General features: G+C 42.1%; 1 long non-coding RNA gene across 1 annotated transcript in view; it reads left to right on the plus strand.

Moving 5' to 3' along the window:
* Window positions 1-2,171: 2,171 nt before the first annotated feature.
* The window catches only part of LINC02841 (long intergenic non-protein coding RNA 2841), a 34,617-nt gene continuing 14,099 nt past the window's right edge, over window positions 2,172-22,689 (plus strand). The window contains exon 1 of the long non-coding RNA NR_184026.1: window positions 2,172-2,309. This is a non-coding gene — a long non-coding RNA (long intergenic non-protein coding RNA 2841). The remainder of the gene's footprint in view (window positions 2,310-22,689) is intronic.

Here is a 22,689-nt window from a genome sequence, read left to right on the forward strand (position 1 = left end):
TGTCCACAAGGAGATCCCAGCCGGGGCAGAGCGAAGGCCTCTCCACCCTGGGATGGAGACCCAGTTTCGTGTCCACAAGCTCCATTGGCAGCGGCCTTGGCCGCGTATCCCGAGCAAGGAGGGTAGCTCCACTTCGTGATCTTTGCTTAAACATTTTCAGAGGCCAACACTCGCTGTCTGTCCCCAGGGCTAGAGAATTGCCTGCTAAAGGTATTTAGGAAAGAAAATGGAATCTGACATGTTTGAGTGATTTAGTAAGGGCCACATACCTTCCGAGGTGCTTGACATCCATTATCCCACTTAATCTCCTCCTACCCTATTTATCGTCATTTAGGGTCAGGGAATCGAAGCTCAGAGAAATGAGCAGGCCCAGTGCCCCATGGCCTGCAGGAGCCTGGAACAGGGAAGTAAGTAGGCAGGGGAGGTCTCTGCTTCCTGAGAGACAGTGGTTGCAGAAGCTCTAGGATCAGACTCCCTGAGCTGGAATCTGGCTGTGCTTCTCTCTTGCTCTGTGATCTTGGACATTGCTTCCTGTCTCTCAGCCTCTATTTAATCGTTTCTAAAACAAAAATAAGTACACAAGACCATGATGTGGGCTCGGTATTTGTGAGTAATTTTGATTGCTGTAGTCGTTGTGGTTAAGGGACCATCAGCAGTTATCCTTCTTGGAATCCCGGTACCTAGGAGGGGGAAGGAGCACAGGATTGCTCCAGCCTCAGTCATGTGAAAAGGGAGTGCCTCCCACACCCTCCCCACAGCCCACCACGCCTGTCATGTCTAGACAACCAGACAGATGCTCGGGCCTGAAGGGTGACAAATCCACTCACAAGATACAGCTTGCTAAGTGGCAGTGGCCTTTTATTCTCTGACATCTTTCCAGACCCTTGAAGGGATTAGAACTGGATTAGTTTGAGATGAGCCTGGCTCTGCCGTTATCACCTGTTTATAGGATAATGACATTATCTAGTTTGGCCCGTAAGGGCCTCCATACGTAGGAGCTTCGTTCTCTTTGATCTGGAGGGTCGCAGACAACATATCTTTAAATCTAAACAAACTCACTGAAGCCCAAGATAAGTGTTCAAAATACCCAGTGAGAAGAAAGGAGCCTCTCTTTTCCCTTCCTGCCCAATGCAAAGAGCAATTTTAAAATTGTGTGCACTCACACGATTTTAAAACCTAAAACTCATCCTGCCACTTTGGACCCTAGCTTCCTTGCGTCTCCTTTCACGTGTGCACAGAATTCTGAAGTTTGTAGAGCTTTTTCAACCCATCTCAACTTATATGGTGAGCACAGCCGTCTGAGCAGAGCAGGGTGAGCTCAATACACATGATACAGGCTGGGACACAAAACACAAGGCTCAGGGAAGACAAGGAGTTTGGCAACCCTCATGTCTTTTTTAAGAGAGGAGCTGTGGTTAAACCCAGCTCATCTGGAAAAACCCAGCACTCATTTCACTGCCTGAAGCCATCTATGAACCGACCTCTCTGCCCAGACAGCTTTCTTTAAAGAGGATCCTCATTACCCTTCACAGAAAACATCTGTTTAGACAGATGTTCCAGGAGGTCCTTGGCCCAAGTCCACTTTCTTGTCCCAAGGCTTCCCTAACGTCCATCATCCCTGTTTAAAAATTATTTTTATTGAAGTATAATTTACATGCAATATAGGCAATCTGCTTTAAGTGTACTGACCTTTTGTTAAGTTTTGGAAAATGTGTACCTTTGTGGAAATGATGCAGGACAGGAAAGACCCAAAACTAGGGCTTAGCCTGGGAAGTTTCTTGGTTTTGCCCAGGAAAGAATTCAAGGGGGAGCCGGTGGTATTAGACAGCAGCTTCTATTGAAAAGGCCATGCACAGCAGCAGAGGGACTGCTCCTTGCAAAGCAGGGCCACCCTACAGACTGTGTGCCTGGACATGCAGCTCAGAGGCACCTCTGCAGACATATTTATACCCACTTTTAATTACATGCAAATTAAGTGGCAGATTATGCAGAAATTTCTAGGAAAAGGGTGGCAACTTCCAGGTCACTGGGTCATTGCCATGGAAAGGGGCAGGGTGTTGCCATGGAGTGTGGCCATGGCAATGGCAAACTGACATGGCACAATGGTAGGCATGTCTCAAGGAAAGCTGCTTCCACTCCACCCCTGTTTCAGCTATTTCTCAATTTGGTCCAGTGTTCAAGCCCAACCTTTGGAGTCGAGTCCCACCTCCTACCTCAGAACCACCACCATAATCAGGATTTAGAATGCATCACCCCAAAATGTTTCTTCATGTCCCTGGCCCCTTGCTTTCAATCTCCTACAGCTCCTAGTGAGTATTGATAGTTCAGTCACTATAGTTTTTCTTTTTCTAGAAATTCGCCTAAGTGGAATTATATAATATGTACCAGCTTCTTTCTTATATCTGGCTTCTTTTACTTGGCATGCTGTTTTTGAGAGTTAGGCATTTTGTTGTGTGTTTGATTAGTTTGATTTTTGTAGTGTGTTTGATTTGCTGTGTGTTTTTCTTTATATTGCAGAGTAGTATTCCACCGTATGTATATACCATAAAATGATTTATCGATGCTCCAGTTTTAGACATGCAAGTAGTTTCCAGCTTAAGGCCATTCTGAATAACGCTGCTATGGACATTTAGGTACAAGTTTTTGTGTTAATATGTTCTCACTTATCTTGGACAAATATCTAGGAGTGAGATTTTGGCCCATATGATAAATAGATATTTACATTATAAGAAACTTTCTATTTTTTAAAGTGGCTGTATTCCTGCCAGTAATGTTTAACATTCCAATTGCTCCACATCCTCACCAACACTTGGTATTGTCAGTCTTTCTAATTTTACCATTCTTGTGTATGTACAGTAGTGTCTTGTTGTGGTAGTATTTGCATTTCCTTAGAAACTAATGATGTTGAGCATTTGTTCATGTCCTTAATTGACATTCATAATATTTTCTTTGGTGAAAGGCCAGTTCAAATCTTTTGCCCATTTAGATTGATTATCTTCTTATATTTGAGTTGTGCCAGTTCCTTATATATTCTGGGTGTATCTCCTTTTTCAGATATTTCTAGCAAATATATTCTCATAGTTTGTGGCTTTTCATTTTCTTAGACATGTCTTTCAAAGACTAAAAGTTCTAATTTTGATAAGTCATTTATTCATTTTTTCTTTTATGGTTTGTGTTTTTTGTGTCTTATGTAAGCAATTTTTACTTAGGCCAAGATCACAGGGTTTTCTTTTCTATTTTCCTCTAGAAGTGTTAATTTTTATGTATAATGTGAGCTAAGAAATGAGGTTTATATTTTCCATGTGCATATATTGTTATTTCAGCATGTTACACCTCTCAATGTATATAAGTCTTTTCTATTTTATCTCAGTAATAATTTGTAGTTTTCAGAATATGCCTCTCACATTGTTTATTTTATTCCTATTAATATTTTTCATACTATTATAAAAGGTATTTTAAAACTTTGCTTTATAAAAATTTGTTGTACATTTTTATTTTTATTCCTTTTTTAATTTTTAATTTTGTGGGTACATAATAGGTGTGTTTATTTATGGAGTACATGAGATATTTTGATATAGGCATGCAGTTTGTAATAATCACGTCACAGAAAATGGGGTATCCATTCCCTCAAGTATTTATCCTTTGTGTTACAAACAACCCACTTATACTCTTTTAGTTATTTTTAAATGTAGAATCAAATTATTATTTACTGTAGTCACACTGTTGTGCTATCAAATACTAGGTCTTTTTCATTGTTTCTGACTAATTTTTTACACATTAATGATCCCCACTCTCCCATGTTGTATATTTTTATGTCTAGTCCATATATTCTGTTTCATTGCTAAATTGACTTATTAATTCTATCTTATTTTATAGATTTCTTGGATTTCCTCCATAGATTATCGTATTATCTGTATGTCTTTTATTTGTTTTTCTTGACTTACTGTCCTATATGGGACCTCCACTGTAAATTTTAATCAAAGTGGTGAAAGCAGACTTCCTTGCCTTTTTCCCAGTCGTAGGGGAAGATTTAATCTTTCATCATTAAATAGGAACTTAGCTGTAGGTTTGTCATAGATACTCTTAATCTAGTTGAAGAAGTTCTCTATATTCTTAGTTTGCTAACAGTTTTTATTCATGAATTGCTGCTCAATTTTGTCCAATGCTTTTTCAGTATCTATGATTGCAATTAGTTCCTGCTATGCTATTTAAAATCTTGCAAGAAAAACCTCAGTGCTTATGGAAAAATTGGGGTGACAGGCACCACACTAAAAACCTTTATCAGTGACACACACAAGAAAAGAAAAGATGAGAACCTAATAAAAATGGTACCACTGTTTTCCACATATTACTACATAGCTGATTTCAGCTCAGTGCAGTTTTTTGCATTCATCTAGTTTTCCTTGATAGCAAAATTGTGCATAAGCAAACACAAAGTTCAAATTGTTCTTAACACGTGAATTGCATTGAAACAAATTCACATTTCAAAACAAGTGTTACAGCAGAATTTATTGTAAAAGTTTGTGTTTTTTAGTTTATTAATAAGGTAAATTGCAATGATTAACTTTTGAATGTTAAACTAGTCTGCCATTTGTTGGATAAGCCCATTTAGTCATGATATATTATTATATTTGTATTTTTCTGGATTTAATTTGTTAAAATTTGTTAGGGGTTTTTGGATGAATATTTATAAGGCGTGTTAATGTGTAGTTCTGTTTTATAGTAATGTCTTCTTGTTATTTTCATATCAGATTAAGGCTGGCTGTGTAAAATGATTGAGGATATATTTCTTCTCCTATAGTTTCTGGAGCGTTTGTATAGAACTGGTATTGTTTATTCTATAAATAAACAATAGAATTCATCATTCAAGTAAACTAGGCCTGAGATTTTCTTTGTCAAAAGTTTTCAAATGATGAATTCCATTTCTTTAATAGATAAAAGCCTATTCCGGTTATTTGCTCCTTCTTAAGTATGCTTCGATAATTTGTATCTCTCAAGAAATTTGACAATTTCTTACAAGTTATTGAATTTACTGACACGAAGTTATTTCTCATATCTCCTTATTATCCTTTCAAGGTCTGTGGGATATGAAGTGATGTCTGTTCTTTAACTCCTAATATTGGTAATTGCTGTGTTCCTTTTTCCCCTTCTTTTTTATTATTTAGTCTTTTTAAATTTTCTTCATTTATTGATACTTTGAAGAACCAAATTTTGTTTCCATAGATTTACTCAATTATCTGTTTTCTATTTTATTAATGTCCAGTCTTTATAATGTTCTTTCTTTCTGCTCACTTTGGGTTTCAGTTGCTCTTCGTTTTCTAGTTTCTTCAAGTAAAAATTCAATCATTGAGTTTAGTTTTTTCTTCTTTTCTAATGTAAGCTTTTAAATATAACAAATTTCCTTAATTATCACTTTATCTACAACCCACACATTTTGATTTTTTAAAATTCAGTTCATACTATTTCCAGGCCATAATGTTGTTTTATTTTTCCTGTGATTTCTTTTTTCACTCATGGATTTTTAGAAGTATGTTTTTAAATTTCAAATGTTTGTGGTTTTTCCAGATACCTTTCTGTTATTGATTTCTAGGTTATTTCCAGTATGGTCAGAGAATATACTTCTTATTTTTCAATTTTTTAAAAATTTATTTAAACTTATTTTATGACCTAGAATATGAGCTACCTTAGTGAATGACCCATATAGACTTGAAAAAATGTGCATTCTACTCTTTTAGGATTTTCTCTAAATGTCCCTAAATGTCACTCAGTTTTGGTTGATTGACAGTGGTGTTCTGGGGAACGTTTAACTGAATATCTGGAAAGAAAAAGTCCTGATACATAGTATTTGATACCTTCTGTGGATATGCATTCTTATCAATGCTGATTTTAAGCTAACAATGTGCTGTCACCACATTGTGCTGTCACAAATGAAATTGCTTTCACTAGCCAGTGCAAGCTAGTTCTAGCACACCACAGTGATTGTGGTATTCAAATCTTCTGTATCTTTGTTGCATTTTGTCTGTATATTCTTTCAGTTACTGAGAGATGAATGTTGTAATCTTGAACAATGATCACTGATTTTTCCATTTCTCTTTTCAGTTCTTTCAGTTTTTGTTTTAATGTAATTTAAAGCTTTATGAAGTGTACATGCATTTAGCATTTACGTGTGTTATAACTTCTTGATAAATTGATCCCTTTATCCTTATGAAATGTACTTCATTATCACTGGTAACTTTCTTTTCTTTGAAATATATTTCTCTGATACTAATATAGCTACCCCCACCTTACCTTTGATTAGTGTTTATATGGTGTAGAATTTTTCATTCTTTTACTTAAAATTTTTTGAATAATTTTGGATTTACAGAGGAATGCAAAGATAGTACTGAGATTCTCTGCATAACTGTCACTCATCTGTCCCTAATGTTAACATCTTAAACAACTATGGCAGATTTGTCAACATTAAGAAATTAACATTGGTGCATTATTAGGAACTAAAGCACATTTTTTACCTGGATTTCCCCAGGTTTGCTACTAGTTTCCTTTCATGTTCCAGGAGTCTATCCAAGAGTCCACATTTGTATTTCGTTATTGTGTCACCTTAGTCTCCTCTGGTCCATGAAGATTTCTCAGTCTTTTTATTGTTTGTCATTGCCTTTATGCATCTAAAATGTACTAGCCAGGTATTTTGTAGACTGTTTCTCAATTCGGGTTTGTCTGACATATTCTCATGTTTATACTGGGATTATAGAATGTGAAGTGTCCTCATTACATCTTTTAGGGGCAGAAATGATAAAAATGACACTATTACTGATGTTAACTTTGATCATTTGGTTAAGTCTGCCAGGTCTCTTCACTGTAAAGTTACTATTTTTTTTTCCATACTGTATTCATTGAAAGTGAGTCACCAAGTTCCCAGAATTAAAGAATTAAGTTATACTTCCTAGAGGGGAGAGAGTATTTATATGTAAAGTTATAGAGTTATAGGTATGTGTGTGTATATACACATACACATACACATACACACACACACACCTATAATTTTATATTTAAATATACATATATAAATATATATACTGTACATGTATATACACATAATGTTTATTGTATAAAATTATTCAAACATTTGTCCCTTTTCCCAACCCCTTGCTTATTTGTAATTTCTTTCTCTAACAGTGAGAAACTTGGCTTCCTTTATTTATAAATTACTAGTTTTTATATGTAAAGTAGTTTTATAATTGCTAAATATATCCCTGTGAGAAACACATTTACTACCTAAGGTACTGTGTTTATATATAGTTTTTTTTGTTGTTGTTTTTATTTAGGTCAGCCCCTTTTTTTCTTCATCCCAGTGGTGATATTTTGTCATATTTTAATAAAGTTAGATTCATTTGTCAAGGTCTACATTCCATCCTGGGATCTTTCAATATCCTGGTTGACTTCTTAAAGAATATCACATACTGTAAAGTTTTCTTTGTAGTGTACAGTTATGTTGATTTTGAGATAAAAAAGCAGTACCATCTATCTACCACCCAAGAACCATACAGAATAGCTTCATCCATTCTAAACATTTTCTTCTCTGTCTTGTTATAGTCAACACCTCCCCACTCCCTAACCCCTGGCAATCCCTGATACGTTTTCTGTACCCATAATTTTGTCTTTTCTATAATATTATATAAATAGAATCAGAAAATAAGTAAACTTTGTGTCTGACTTCTTTCATTTAGCAAAATGCACTTAAGATTTATTCATTTTGTGTAAAGCAATAGCCCATTTCTTTTTATTGCTGAGTAGGGTTATTCCATTGGATAGCTATACTACAGTTTGTTTATTCACTTATCTGTTGAAGAACATGTCGGCATTCTTTTTCTTTTGTCCTCTCTGTGCCGTGTATTTAAAGTGCATTTCTTTTAGACAAGTCGTGTTTTTATATCCAAGCTGACTTTTTTTAATCAAAATATTTAGACCATTTACATTTAGTGTAATTTTTAATATGATTAAGTTTATCATCTTGCTATTTGTTTTTTAATTTTCCCATTTGTTCTTTTTATCTGTCTTCTTTTGGATTAGTTATTTTTTAACTACATTTTATTTCCACTACCATTTTGTATTTTAGTTTTCTAAAGTTTACAACATGTATTTTTTAACTTACCAATTTACTTTCAAATAATATCATGCCACTTAACATACTTTATAAGAATCTTAGAACAGTATACTTGCATATCTTTCCTTACTTTTTGCAATTGTTCTTATATGTTTAATTACTTTTATTATTAACTTTTAATGTGAAGTTCCAAACTAAGAAAATGGCCTCTAACCATAAAGAACAGGATCAAATCCTGGCTTTCTTACTCACTCACTATGTAATCTTAGGCAAATCACTTTACATGTTTGTTCCTCAGTGTCATGGTAAAGTTGTCTGTAAAATAACAAGCTTGATATGAAGAAAAAGTAAAATAAGCCATGACATAGTTGCCACACCATAGCTGGCACACATGAAGCAAAGGGATACAGTATCCCTTCTAGGCCAAACACCAGAAAAAGTTTGTCGGGAGTGGAGAGCTAAAAGTGAACAGTTTCCCATCTCTGAGCACACTCATTCCTTGCTACTCATAGTCTGGCCCTCTGTGACACCAGGAAACAACAGCAGATGCCAAAATGAACCACAGCAGCAAACTAAGGGTGCCCATCTGTGTCAACACCAGCAGACATAACTGATTCTATTCCAAGAAGGAAATTAAACTAAAAATCAGTTGTACTTTATGTGAGCTCCCCAAATCACAAAGACTAGGTTACTAAGGAAACTTGCTTCTGCAAACTTCAAGTGTTGAACTTAAGTGGTGAGTGGTTTTGTCTGCAGACACCATGTAGGATGCCTGCTGGAGATTGGGGGCTTCAGAGCTACCTTATTTTCTTACTTCCTGGCCCAGCTGGCTGCCTCTTCTCCTGAGCTGCTAGCTTTCTTCTGGAGGGATGGATAGGCTAACGCACTTGTGAAGTAAGCTCTGGGTTCAGACACACCTGGATGTAAATCATGGCCCATAATTCATTAATCATAACCCTGCAGAAGCCACTTAGCCCCACCAACCCTCAGTTTCCTAATCTATAAAATGGGAATAAAAATGAAACTTAATGAGATAATGCATTTTAGCTAAGAAGAGTAGTGGGATAATATTCTAAAATATTAGCCAATCTTCCCTGCTCTTCCTCTCTTTCATTTATCCCTCAGTTCATTTTGTTCTATCTCTTAGGCCCTGGGCAGAATAGAGCAGCAGAAAGCAGGCAAAGAAAGGAGTCTTTTCTGACTGTAGATTTCCAGAAGCCTAGGCCCTAGGGCAGGGGCAAGTCTCAGAGGACAGATTCAGGAGAGAGAGATGATGATGAAGGGCCAGGAGTGTGGGCTGTCAGATTGGAAACCAGTCTGAGTTAAATCTGGGAGGAATGAAGGAAGGGAAACAGAAGGGTGAGGGCTTTGTTTCCAGGCCAAGTGCAAAGAGGCAGCACAGCCCCAATCAGTTTTGTGGGATCCACCAAATGGCTGTAGAAGGAAAGGGAGAGAAGAAAGGGCCCAATTGCCTGGGCCAGCCTCTGAGTTACACTGGCTGGGTAGTATGTCCATGCACACAGGCTCCAGGTCAGAGGGAAGCCCAGGATGAGGCAGGACCCACAGAGTGGCCTCTCCACACCCAGGAGTTCAGAATGCCAAGCTTGATGGAGCTTGTGGGCAGGACCAAAACCTCCTTGGAGGTGACCTGCATGGACAAACCTCCAAGGACCAGAAGAAGGGTGCACAATTTAGCAGAGATGTCATCAGAGAAGGGAGGGTGGGATGCGAAAATTTCTCTCTGCTCTTCTCCCTCTACAACTGCATTTTGCTGAATTTGTGCAGGTTAAATAAGCTTATTTCACAATGTGACTTGACAGTAATAATAACACAATCATGTCACACAACCAAGGCCTCAGTTTTTGGCAGGGATTTAAGCTGTCCAGAGCTTTGTTGTGATCATGGGTGCATTTAACATTCCCGACAATCTGCCAGGCACCAGGGCCTGGCTATGAGGGAAGGAACTCCTACAACTCAGAGTCCCTCTCCTTCACTCAGCATCCTCACCAGACCTCGTGGAAGGAAGAAATCCTCTTTAAAAGCAGTGATATTCATGCTTCAGCATTTACTGAGCACCTGCTGTATATTGGGACCAGGAAGAGACCCTGCCCTCATGAGGCTGTCAGTCCAGAGCAGTAGATGTACATTAATCAGTTAAAGGCGAAAGTACCCTCACAGTGACTAGTTTCTAATGAGCAAACAGAACTTGTGGAAGGCTGGCTTCCCCCCATGGCCTCTTATAAGTGTTTAAAATCAATCAATCAATCAGTTAATTAGTAGCTGTTCACTGAGTCCAGCCTGGTAGTCCAGGGCTCCCCTGGCCCAAGTGGTCTCTATGGAAGGTGCAGACACAGAGGCCCCATGCAGATGCCATAACAGATGTGAGAGCATTTGGCAAACAAGAAACTTCCATCAGACATGACAATTTCTGCTATGATGCTTATTGTTATTACTGCAGTCATTGTTGCTATCACCGTCATTAATACAAGCAGTGCTTGTTTGAAGGAGATGGCCTGATTGGAAAACAGGACCAGGCTTGCACGCAGGATCAGGGTGTCTGCAGGGAGCAATGAGCTCAGGACGGAGCCGCAGCCTTCACTTGATTTCTCGCCGTTCCTGGGTCTCTTCTTACCACATCCACCATGTCTCTGGGCCCTTTACCGCTCACTAATTATATTTTCATTACATCCACTTACCCCTTTTACAGAACCAAGTGTGTTTTTTTTGTTAGTTTTTTGTGCTGAGACAGGATCTTACTCTGTCGCCCAGGCTGGAGTGCAGTGACGCCATCATAGCTCACTGCAGCCTCGAATTCCTGGGCTCAAGCGATCTTCCAGCCTCAGCCTCCCAAAGCACTGGGATTACAGGCCTGAGGTACCATGCTGGACCTGTGTCGTTAAAAGAAACATTCTACAATTATCACCAATGGGAAGCCCCTATTATTAGACATAGATAGGAAACAACAGTTCAATAAATACAATGATTAAACATTATTTGTAAATTGTAGCTAAATTCAGCCCCATGCCCCAGCTCTGAGGTAGGTATCACTTAACAGAAAGCCTCAGGATGGAATGAAAAATGTAGAGGGGTAATTTTCTCATCATGGAATCCACGTCATTTGCTACTTTGTGCCTCAGCTTTAAGTCTCTGGCCAGCCATTTTCTCCTGTTGTGTGCAAGTTGATCTAAAAATCCCCACCCAGGCCCCATCCCACATTCCTGCTTCCTGCCCTCAGGGCACCTTGCTTGGCTGCTGTTGAATCAGCCTTCTCTCCTTTCTGTTTTTTTTAAATTAAAATAGAATTTGTTTATTTTTATTGATATATAATAATTATACATATTTATGAGGTACTTGTGATACTCTAATACAGGCATACAATGTGTAATGATCAAATCAGGGTAATTAGCATAACCATCACCTTGAATCTTTATCATTTCTTTGTGTTAGGAACATTGCTAATCTTTTCTTCTAGCTATTTTGAAATACACAATATATTCTTGTTAACAACAGTCACCCTACTGTGCTATCAAATGCTAGAACTTATTTCTTCTAACCGTATGTTTGTACCCATTTACCGACCTCTCTTCATTGCCCTGCCCACAGCCCCCACACCCTTCCCAGCCTCTGGTAACTATCATTCTACCCTCTACTGCCATGCAATCAACTTTTTAGCTCCCACATGTGAGTGAGAACATGTGATATTTGTCTTTCTGTACCTGGCTTATTTCACTCAACATAATGACCTCCAGTTCCATCCATGTTGCAGCAAAGGACAGAATTTCATTATTTTTACTGGCTGAATAGTATTCCTTTACCCATTCATTCATGAGTGGACACTTAGGTTGATTTCATGTTTTTGCAATTGTGAATAGTGCTGCAGTGAATATGGGGGTGTAGGTATCCCTTTGCCATACTCATATTCTTTCCTTTGGATAGATACTGAGTAGAATGATTTTATCTCCTTTAGTGCCTTACCCCTGTTCCATAGAGTCACCTCCCAAATAGGCCACCTCCACATAACCCTGGGCTCCAGCTCAGCTTTCAGGAAAATGTAGGATAAAGCATGGTATCTTTCTAGCCCCTAAAACTGCCTTGTGAACCCCAAAGACATGAGTCCTATAACACTAGCTCCATTACCTGTTAACTGTGAAACCTGGAACAGGTCAGTTAGTGTTTCTGAGCCTGCTTGCTTGCATGAAATACTGGTAACTGTGCTTACCTTACAAATTAATAGGAAGACTAAATGAGCAGACAGCATACAGCAACAGTTTTAGGAGAAGGCAGTGGTTAGGCTGGGCATGGTGGTTCATGCCTGTAATCCCAGCACTTTGGGAGGCTGAGGCGGGTGTATCACGTGAGGTCAAGAGTTCGAGATCAACTTGACCAACATCGAGATCCCATCTCTACTAAAAATATGAAAATTAGCCGGTCGTGGTGGTGCATGCCTGAGGTTCCAGCTACTCAGGAGACTGAGGCATGAGAATTGCTTGAACTCAGGAGGCAGAGGTTGCAGTGAGCAGAGATCACAACACTGCACGCCAGCCTAAAGGCCTGAAGGACAGCGCAAGACTCTATCTCAGGAAAAAAAAAAAAAAAACAAAACAGTGGCACACTCAAGGAGCCCACCCAGGTGCCTGGAGACTGGCTTTTGGCCTGCAGGTGGTGGTGAGGCAGTGCAAGTGTGACAGCTGCTGACAATGAGATACTACCTGCTTTTGCAGAACACACAGATCTATAGCCCAGTGTCAGCCATGGGCCGGTGCTCACCTGGCGTTTGTTGTGGTGCTGGCCCAGCTGTCCGCATTGTTGGGGATGTTAGAGTGGCCCCTTCTGGGTGGAAAGTCGAGGTCCGGGAGGTCTCTATGTAGCTGTCCTCTGTCTGATAAAGGATCCTTGGGGCTGTCTGTCTGGCCACTCCGGAAACCATGGGCCATTGCAGCTACTAGCTCAGCCCTGATGGGGAGCCCCGCAGATGGGGCTTGAGTCCTTCCACTTACTCTTCTCTTTCTCTGCCTCATCTATTACCACTCCCTGCTGGCCTCCTCTCTTACCTGCAGCCCTCCTGTGCATCCAGCTGGAGGTCTGGCCACACCAACAGCTGACCTGGTTCCCTAGACTTTCCAGCCCATGTCTTGGACATGCAGTTCCCACCCTCCACTTCTCTGCAAATTCATCGTCTTCCTTCTGAGACTCCTGTCCCTCAGATCTCCTGCAGAGACCTCACCTTGCCATCTGATGACTCTGGGATGCACCTCCCCCCTCAGCCTGTGGATTCCTAGAGGGCAGCACCTAGTCTCTGTTAACTGCCCCCTCAAGCCCAGATGCTGTGAACAGGAGTCAGCATTGGCTGTGTACCTGGCTGCCTCTCTGCCCCCTGCCCTCAACTACCTCGTCCCACTCTGCCCTGGGGGTGGCTTCAGATGAGTGAAGCTCAGCTCTGGACATACTGGACAGATTGCTGTTCCCCAACTGTGTCAGACCCATTGCTGCCCTTTGCACAGTCATTAGCTCTAATAATTACTGCAGGTCCTCAAACACTTGTCATTCAGGTCTCAGTTCACATGTCACCTCTTTAGAGAACTTCCCCGACTACCCATTGTAAGGTTCCACTCCCTCCGTCTGAAATGATCTGATGTGTTTTCTTAGTAATGCACGCTCTGCCTCCACTCTAGAGCATGATGACTAAAATCCTGCTTATCCTGTTCCCCCTCTACCCCCAGGTTGCTGGCACAGGGCCTGGCCCATAGGAAGTATCTACATGTATTGAATGAATGAATGAATGAATGAATGAATATATAAACCAATCAATGAAAAAACAAACCAATCCTACCAAAAGCCTCAAGACAGACACAGGTGGGAGGACTGGGTAGGCATTACCGTCTCCAGTAACAGATGAGGCACTAGAGTCAAAGAGGGCTCGCGAGTGAGAGTGACAGCCTGGAGCCAGCAACACTGCTGTTTTTCCCCTGGGCTCCTTCTCTGACCCACCTCTACCCACCAGTGAACCCCCGCTGGACATCTGGAAAGGGCATCTTCTCCATCCCTGACATCACTTTGGTCAGAACTGCGCTGGCCTCACTTTCTGATTCATAATTCAGCACCAGCAGCTCACTGCTCCAGTCAGGGGTGAAGCCTCCCATTCATTCAAGATGTTTCAGAACGCCTGCTGCATTACCCCAGAGGCAGCACAGGGCTTGGTACAAAGGTGGATGCATCACAGGCCCTGCATCCCCGGTATTGATTTCTATATGTATGTCCCGCTTATTAGACCGCCAGAATTTATCAGGCAGAGACCAGGTCATTATTTCAGAATTTCTTTCTATTTCCCCCTTTCCCTAAAATCTGAGGGTGGGGTGCTTCTGGAAAAACAATGCGGGATTATAGGTAGACTTTTCTACAAAATAAACATGATGGCATGAAAGTACTAAAGGAACCAAGATGACATCTTCAGAATGGTTATTTTCAGAAAATAATTCATTCAAGAATTGATAAATAGCCCTAGTGTGATAGAGTGTTTGGGGGTGTTTTTTGTTTGTCTGTTGGGGGGCAGTTATTATGAATTGTCTTTTATTTTAAAAAATAGTGTCAAATACTATATTATAATTAGATAGCAATTTTTACAGTTTTATTGAAATATAAAGGATACACAAAAAACAGCACATTTAAAAAATCTTTTACTTTAAGTTCTGGGATACACGTGCTGAACGTGCAGGTTTGTTACATGGGTATACATGTGCCATGGTGGTTTGCTGCACCTATCAACGCGTCATCTAGGTTTTAAGCCCGGCATGCATTAGGAAATTGTCCTAATGCTCTCCCTCCTCTTTCCCTCAACCTCCTGACAGGCCCCTGTGTGTGATGTTCCCCTCTCTGTGTCCATGTTTAATGTGTACAATTTGATGAGTTTGAAATATGAAAACACCTGTGATACCATCCCCAAAATCAAGGTAGTAGGTACACTTAACATCTCCTGGAGTTGCCATGATGCTTTTTTCTTTATGGTAAGAACTCTTTGCTTGTTTGTTTGTTTTGAGACAGAATCTCGCTCTGTTGCCCAGGTTGGAGCGCAGTGGCATGATCTCAACTCACTGCAGCCTCTGTCTCCTAGACTCAAGCCATCCTCCCACTCCAGCTTCCTGATTAGCTGGGACTACAGGCATGAGCCCCCATGCCCAGCTAATTTTTTTTTTGTAGCTTTTGTAGAGACAGTGTCTCACCAAGTTGCCCAAGCTGGTCTCAAACTCCTGGGGTCAAATGATTCATCCGCCCTGGCCTCCCACAGTGCTGGGATTACAACATGAGCTACTGTGCCTGACCTGTGATAAGAATCCTTAACATGAATGAGATCCACCCTCTTAACAAATTTTGAGTGAACAACATTGTTAACCATAGGCACTATGTTGTACAGCAAATCTCTATAATGTACTCATGTAGCATAACCAAAATTTTATACCCACTGATTTTTTTAAATATGGTGAATAGACAACTATTTTCTCTTTACTCCAAACCCAGAGCTTCTAAGTTGGGGCTCTTAACCTTGGGATTGAACCTGACCTGCAATCTATGCTGGGATCCACAAAAATGCTTTTTTGTTTGTTTGTTTGTTTGTTTTTGTTTTTTTTGTTTTGTTTTGTTTTTTGTTTTGAAAAAGGTCTCACTCTATGGCCCAGGCTGGAGTGCGGTGGCACGATCTCAGCTCACTGCAACCTCTACCTCTCGGGTTCAAGTGATTCTCCTGCCTCAGCTTCCAGAATAGCTGGGATTCTAGGCATGCATCACCACTCCAGGCTAATTTTTGTATTTTTAGTAGAGACAGGGTTTCACCATGTTGGCCAGGCTGGTCTCGAATTCCTGACCTCAAGTGATCTGCCTGCCTTGGCCTCCCAAAGTGCTGGGATTACAGGTGAGAGCCACCGTGCCCTGTCCGAAAAATGCTCTTTCTATTGCTGCTGGGGGGGTAATAATACTGCTTTCCAAAGAGCTCTACAGTTTGCAACAAGTCCCCTCCTGGCTGTGGCATGAGAGGTACTTCCTGAGGGAGAGAGAATGCATGTGATGAGCGGATCACACTACAGTGTGTGACTTGCTCACTGATTCCAGCATTCGGTTTGGGCTAAACTGTGTTCTTTCCATTATCTTGGTTTAAAAATATAGGTTTTTTTTTTCATTTTTTAAAAAATCAGGATTTTATACATACCTGGAAAATTAGGAAGTGGGACCATACTGGGCCTATAGTTCTCCAACAAGAGCTGAGCCATGCTCTCCCCAGCAGATGGGCTCCTAGATCCTGTCTGCTCTGGTCCTCACCTGGCCTGCTTTGCTCTTTAGGCCTCTTTGTCTGTGACCCTGGTTTATAAGAACCATGCTTCCCAACCTTCCCCCCTAAATACCCTAGACCACAGATCACCCCTCCACAGTCAAGCAGCTCTGGGAATAGTCAAGGTTCCTGCATAAGCACATTATTTTGAAGGCTTAGGTTTCATCTTGAAAAAAATGTGTGTTCCATTTTATTATATAACAGGGCTATGTATATTTTAATTAAAATTTATATGTTTTTCTTCCCAATGTATGGACTAAAAGTGTCCCTCCAGGAAGATGTGCCAGGCTGTTCTGAGGCTCTGAGTGTTCCAAAGGTGTTAGCTCAGGGTGCCTTCTCTCCAGTTTGAAAAATACAGTCTCTCCCAGTATTGTTGCTCATCATGTCTTTAGTTCCTTTTTAAAATCTTCCAAGTTCTTAACTTTTGGGCACTTTTTAAAATCAGAAATTAAATGCCCTTAATTTGGGGGAGTTGATATGGCCCTCAGAGCTACAAGCCCCTTTGGGCTGGCCCCAGTGCTTGTGTGGGGAAGGGGCCAGGCCCCATGTCCACATGCGGCCTGGCTGGCTCGTGCGTGGAGCTCCTGGGCATCACACACTCAGCTTGCATAGCGCTGCCCTCAGAAACTTTTGCGGGTTATGGCTTATGAAGGGTTCCGGAGAGTTCAGACGCAAATCGATAGCATGCATTACAAGAGAGCGTGAGCTAACAAAGGTGCTGGGGGACCATGCATCTTAAAACAGCTTCTTGGGGACTTTAATTGTCGGGATGTTCAGGAGAAGAATATGACCTTACGGGGCATTTTCCAGAATAGAATAGTCTATATATTAAAAGGCAGCAAATGATTCATAACTGGTTAGTGGCGGGGCCTATGGGTCCATGTTTCCCATGTGAATTTTTTTTTCTGCGTTGCAAACTCTTACATTAAATTGTGATAAATGAAGAGTGGGGGCTACTCATACAAATCAATGACTCTAGTGTGTGTGTCATTAGCCTGAGAGATGCAGGCAGCGGTCAGTCCCATAAATCATGTGATGATCTGCTGTCTGCAACACGATGCAAGCAAGCAGGCACATTAGGGAGGTTAAGGAATGAAATTAATCTGTGCATTTTCCTCTCCCCCTGCCTCCTTCCCCATCACCTGGTCATACGGAAAGAATTAAAATCACATGATCCGAACTAAACCAGCTCCAGAACAGTAAATTGGTTAAGTTTGACTTCACCTTTCAACTCTGAGTTAATTATGTATTAGGGGATTAATTTATTCACAGGCACTGGGAAGGGAAATGGAGAATGGGAGAAACCTGCCAGGGCCTCTCATCCAGATGCCAAAGTTATTAATTGCTCTGGCTGTGCCACAGGCTACCTGGACAGACCCTGGGGTGGGGGGCTATGTGATCGGCCATGGATATGGTGGGGTCTGTCCTGCTCTGAGGATCAGCCAGCTTGGGTTACAGAAGAGGCCCCAGTCTGTGCTCCACAGGGATGCTTGTGATGCTTGGTTGCTGGAGTATCTTGGAAGCCTACGCTAGAAGGAGCCTTTCCCCAGGGTGTGTAGCCAGATTACACTTCAGATGGTAACTGATACCTCTTCCAAGGCCATTCGCCTTGCCTGGAATTCCTCCAGTGAGAGGCAGCTCTCCATTTGCGAAACTACCCATTTTACACATGCAACTCTGATTTGCACAACTCAAGGGTCCTACTCCACCCCCTTGGGATCATATGGAATACCAGGACTACGTCTCCCACGCATACATGATGCCCTCTGTTCACCCGAGGACAGGGAGCATGTTCTCCTCAAACATCCTCCAGGGTGCCTCTCCAATGGCAGCCTTTGGAGGCCTCTTGCCTTTGTGGTCTTCCTGGGAGGTCAGTCTTGATCTCTCTTCTGTGGTGTGGTCCCAGCCGAGTGAGAACAGCTGCAGGTGCAGCAGTACCCAGGGGCTCCTGGAGATGAGACCTGGAGCAGATAGGGGAGCTCCTTTCTCAGTGATGCTACCTGGTGGTGATTGGGCATCAGATCCAGCAGGAAACCCCAGGAAACTCCTGCCTATTTAAGGGTCTGACCACACCAGAAACAGCCTCTCAAAAGACTCCAAACGCTAGCATCATCTGCATGGAGCCATGCAAGAGAAATTGTTAGGTATATTTGTCCATTTGTTGTTAAGACAGAAGGATGCTGAATGGATTTGACACAGACCCTTTGCTTATAAAAACTCACAACAACCAACATGAATGGCAGCATTAATGCTCTGTGCGTGAACAGCACTTCACAATGTTCTAAATGCGTTCCCATGTGTTTGGGATATTGTTTAATCTTCCCAGCAGTCCATGAGTTGGGTCCAATGATTCCCATTTGACTCCCTAAGGAAACTGAGGCTCTGAGAGTTTAAAAGACTTGGCTGAGTTCACATGCCTGGGAAGTGGCTCAGCCACCATAAGATTCAGTTGCAGGAAGGATGGGACCATCTAGGGTCTTTCTTCCTATCAAATCTACAGATGGAAAGTTCTCAGAGTCCAAGCACCCATGACCATCTCTAGAGGCTCTATGCAGCTCCCAGATCCGTGTGCTGCTCCAATAGGGTTACAAAAACAAGTTGAGCTAACATCTAAAAATTAAAAGCTTTCATAGAAAGAAGGGATTTTGGCTTCTCTTGAAAACTTGGAATCTGGCCATTGGGCTGACATTTCACTGTGGTGATACTGGGTTCATGATGAGTGGTGGCTCCACTCAAAGGGCTCTGAGCTCTCACAGGCTCAAGAGACATGTTTTGGGCAGTACACACACTGAGACACTGACCCCCCAAATCCTCACTCTGTGCAATGACCTAATGGCCCTCCTCTCACCCTCCCATAACCCAGTCTTACTGCTGCCCCCACCTCCTGGGGAACCCACGCATCTCTGTCCTGCCCATACACTTTCTCTCTCTGTCCAAGCCCTTCTTGGCTTCAAGTCAAGCTCTGGTCATTTCACTGGCTCCTCTGCCAGCCTTCTCCTTCCTAAGCTCCAAAAGGATTTTTCAGCTGGTTGATGCGGGTGAGCACGCCAGAGCCAGATGCACCCTGGAGACATCTAAATCCAACCTTCTTGTCTGTAGTAATGAAATTAAGGTGAGACAGGTTGCCTGACCTTCTATGTCGCCAACCCCATTCCCAGACCCTCTCCTGGCCCCAAGAAGCCACCCTGATCATGTTGCTATCTGAATGTTCACCTTGGTTGCTCTTTTGGGGAAAAAATACCAAAAACACAGAGAAAAGGGAAATATCAAAATCCGCAGCATTCAGAATTAACCAAAAATCAAAATTTGCCATATTTGTTGCAGAAGTTTAAAAAAAAATCAAGAAATTCTGAGTTCCATCCAGGAAGCTGGCTTCATTATACTCTTAAGGTCTCCACACATCTCTTCCTGATCCCCTTCCATTCTCTTCTTCCAGAAGGAAGCATTATTGTGACTTTTCCTCCAAATCCTTCTAATCTATGTTTACACACACACACACACACACACGCACACACGTTTGTAAATTACATATGTTTTTTGGTTACATGCATGTGTTTAGATCTACATAAAACACTTCTGCTTTTTTCCATCACCATTGCATTTTTTAGGTTTTTACGGTTTGGCTCTGTCCACCCACTCCAAATCTTATCTTGAATTGCAGTTCCTGTAATCCCCACATGTCATGGGTGAGACCTGGTGGGAGGTAATTGAATCATGGGGGCGGGTTTTTCCTGTCCTATTCTCATGATAGTAAGTCTCACGAGATCTGATGGTTTTATAAAGGGGAGTTCCCCTGCACACACTGTCTTGCCTGCCACCATGTAAGATGTGCCTTTGCTCCTCCTTCACCTTCCACCATGATTGTGAGGCCTCCCCAGCCACGTGGAACTGTTAGTCCATTAAACCTCTTTCCTTTATAAATTACCCAGCCTCGGGTACGTCTTTATTGGCAGCATGAAAATGAACTAATACAGAGGTCGACTCCCACCCTCACCTGTAAATCCAGCCTGGCCAAATCCCATCCTCTGAGGGATGTAGGATTTTGTTTCCCAGATCCCCTTTATAATTACTTAATTAATATTTTTTAGACAGAGTCTCACTCTGTTGCCCAGGCTGGAGTGCAATGGCATGATCTCGGCTCACTGTAACCTCCGCCTCCCAGATTCAAGCGATTCTTCCACCTCAGCCTCCCGAGGAGCTGGGACTACAGGCATGCACAACCACGCCCAGCTAATTTTTGTATTTTTAGTAGAGGCAGGGTTCACCATATTGGCCAGGCTGGTCTCGAACTCCTGACCTCGTGATCCACCCACCTTGGCCTCCCAAAGTTCTGGGATTACAGGCATGAGCCACCGTGCCCGGCCCCCCTGATCCCTTTTTGATGGGCATGTGCATTGTGGATTTTTTACTATCACCAATGAAGCTGGAACAAAACTCTGCATCTTTTCTGGGGTTTGCTAATGAGGTCTGCCTAGAGTTTTATTTACTCTCTAAATGTGTCATGGGTCCCTCTCCCCAGTGGGACTGAGACCTTCTGGGGGACCCTAGGGACCACATGTGAAGATACCCAGCACAGCCCCCAGTTGGTCCCTCAGTATTTTCCCTGGCATGTGTAGTCGCATCTCTCCCTTAGCTCTCCACTGAGGCTGCACGTGCTGGTCACACAGCCCTCCAGCTGGCTATGTCCCCACATGTAAGCCCCAGGGAGCCCCAGCCTACGGCCTGTGCGTCTCAGGCCCATTAAACCTCTCACTTTGTATTTCCTAATTCCTTTAAGAAATCCCAAACCTGTCTCCTTGGATAGAAATAAAATAAATGTAATATCTATTGCTATCGCTTAAATACAAATTATAGTATTTTTTATTAAATACTCTCTTGTCAAATGCTTGACATTCCTCATAATAGATAAAAAAACAACTAAAACTAGTTATTTTCTGTTACCTTAGAGGCTTGCAACGTAGTTTGTATTGTATTTACTTGTTATGTTCTGCTTGTCGCATTTCATTATAAGCACGTGAATTATTTTCCCTACTAAATTAAAAGGCAATATCCCCGCCCCCAGCTACCCTTGAGCTTGTATAAAAGGTGAAGATCTGGAGCTATGGGCTCTGGGAAGCCACCTGGTGATCAGGGTCACAGATCCTCTGCCAGCTCACAGTCCTCCTCTGGCATAGGCTGGCCCAGCCCCCGTGCCTGGTAATGGGGTCAGGGGAACCACCCCAATAAACTTTGTGGTGGGGAAAGGCTACATGTATCATTGCTCTAGCCTTACACTCTTTTCTTCCCACTGTTTCTTATCGTCATCATAGCATCCCTATAAGGCAGCAGGTTGGGACTACTGTACCCATTTTACAGATGAGGCAACAATCCTGAAAGGAACTTTTGAGTTATGGTCAGGCTTAGGGCTAGAGCCCTGCAGATTCCATCGCTTCCACCAGCACTGTTGCCACACACATGTGCCAACTGGAGGTTACCGTGCACCAGGCGCTTGGGGAATCTTTTCACGTGCAATGCCTTCTTTGATCCTAACATTAGTTCCTTGAGGTAGAAGTACTGTTATCTCTCTTTTATAGTGTTGATGAAACTGCAGCTCATGGAGGACAAAGAAGTGCCTCTGGTTGTATAAGTTTCACATGCAAGAGCAGAGGTTGGAGCCAGGTCTGTCTGACTTTAGAGCCCAGTTCAGAAGCAGTGAGAAGAAACATCTTCAGCTCTTTGGGGTCACCATCTCTTTTAAGAATGGGGTGAAATCTGTGCCCTGACCTCCTTCCCTCAGGGAGTGCCTATTTCTCACATCACTGGCATTTTACCTATCATTTTGTGAGCTGCTGGGACTAGCTGGGGCTCATGTCTGGACCCACACAAGTCCTGTGATCCAGGTCAGAAACTCCCTCATGAGAGCTTGGAATCAGATGCTTTTGTTGTGTACACAGCCTAAATCAATTGCAACCTCACCAAATGCTCTGTCTCCTGCCCTCCTTTCCTGCATAAGCTCTTTCTGGTAGCTTAGATTTTCCAGACTCAGAATTTGAAATGGGTTCCAGTGGAACTTGGGAGAGTGGAGTTTCTTACAGTGCTGGGATTTGACCTATTTTTCTCTGAGCCCATGGGGACTTGGAGAGTAATGAGCCTGTGCACCCCTGTCAGATCCTCCTGCTCTTTCAGTGCTACCCTCCCTCCCGTCATGGCACTTCTTTGAAAGAGGAGTTGATACCTGAGTAGTAATTCATGGTGCAGATGCACCGCGTTTTCCTTACCCACTCGTCCACTG

The sequence above is a fragment of the Homo sapiens genome, chromosome 19 (assembly GCF_000001405.40).
Source record: "Homo sapiens chromosome 19, GRCh38.p14 Primary Assembly".
NCBI lineage: Eukaryota > Metazoa > Chordata > Mammalia > Primates > Hominidae > Homo > Homo sapiens.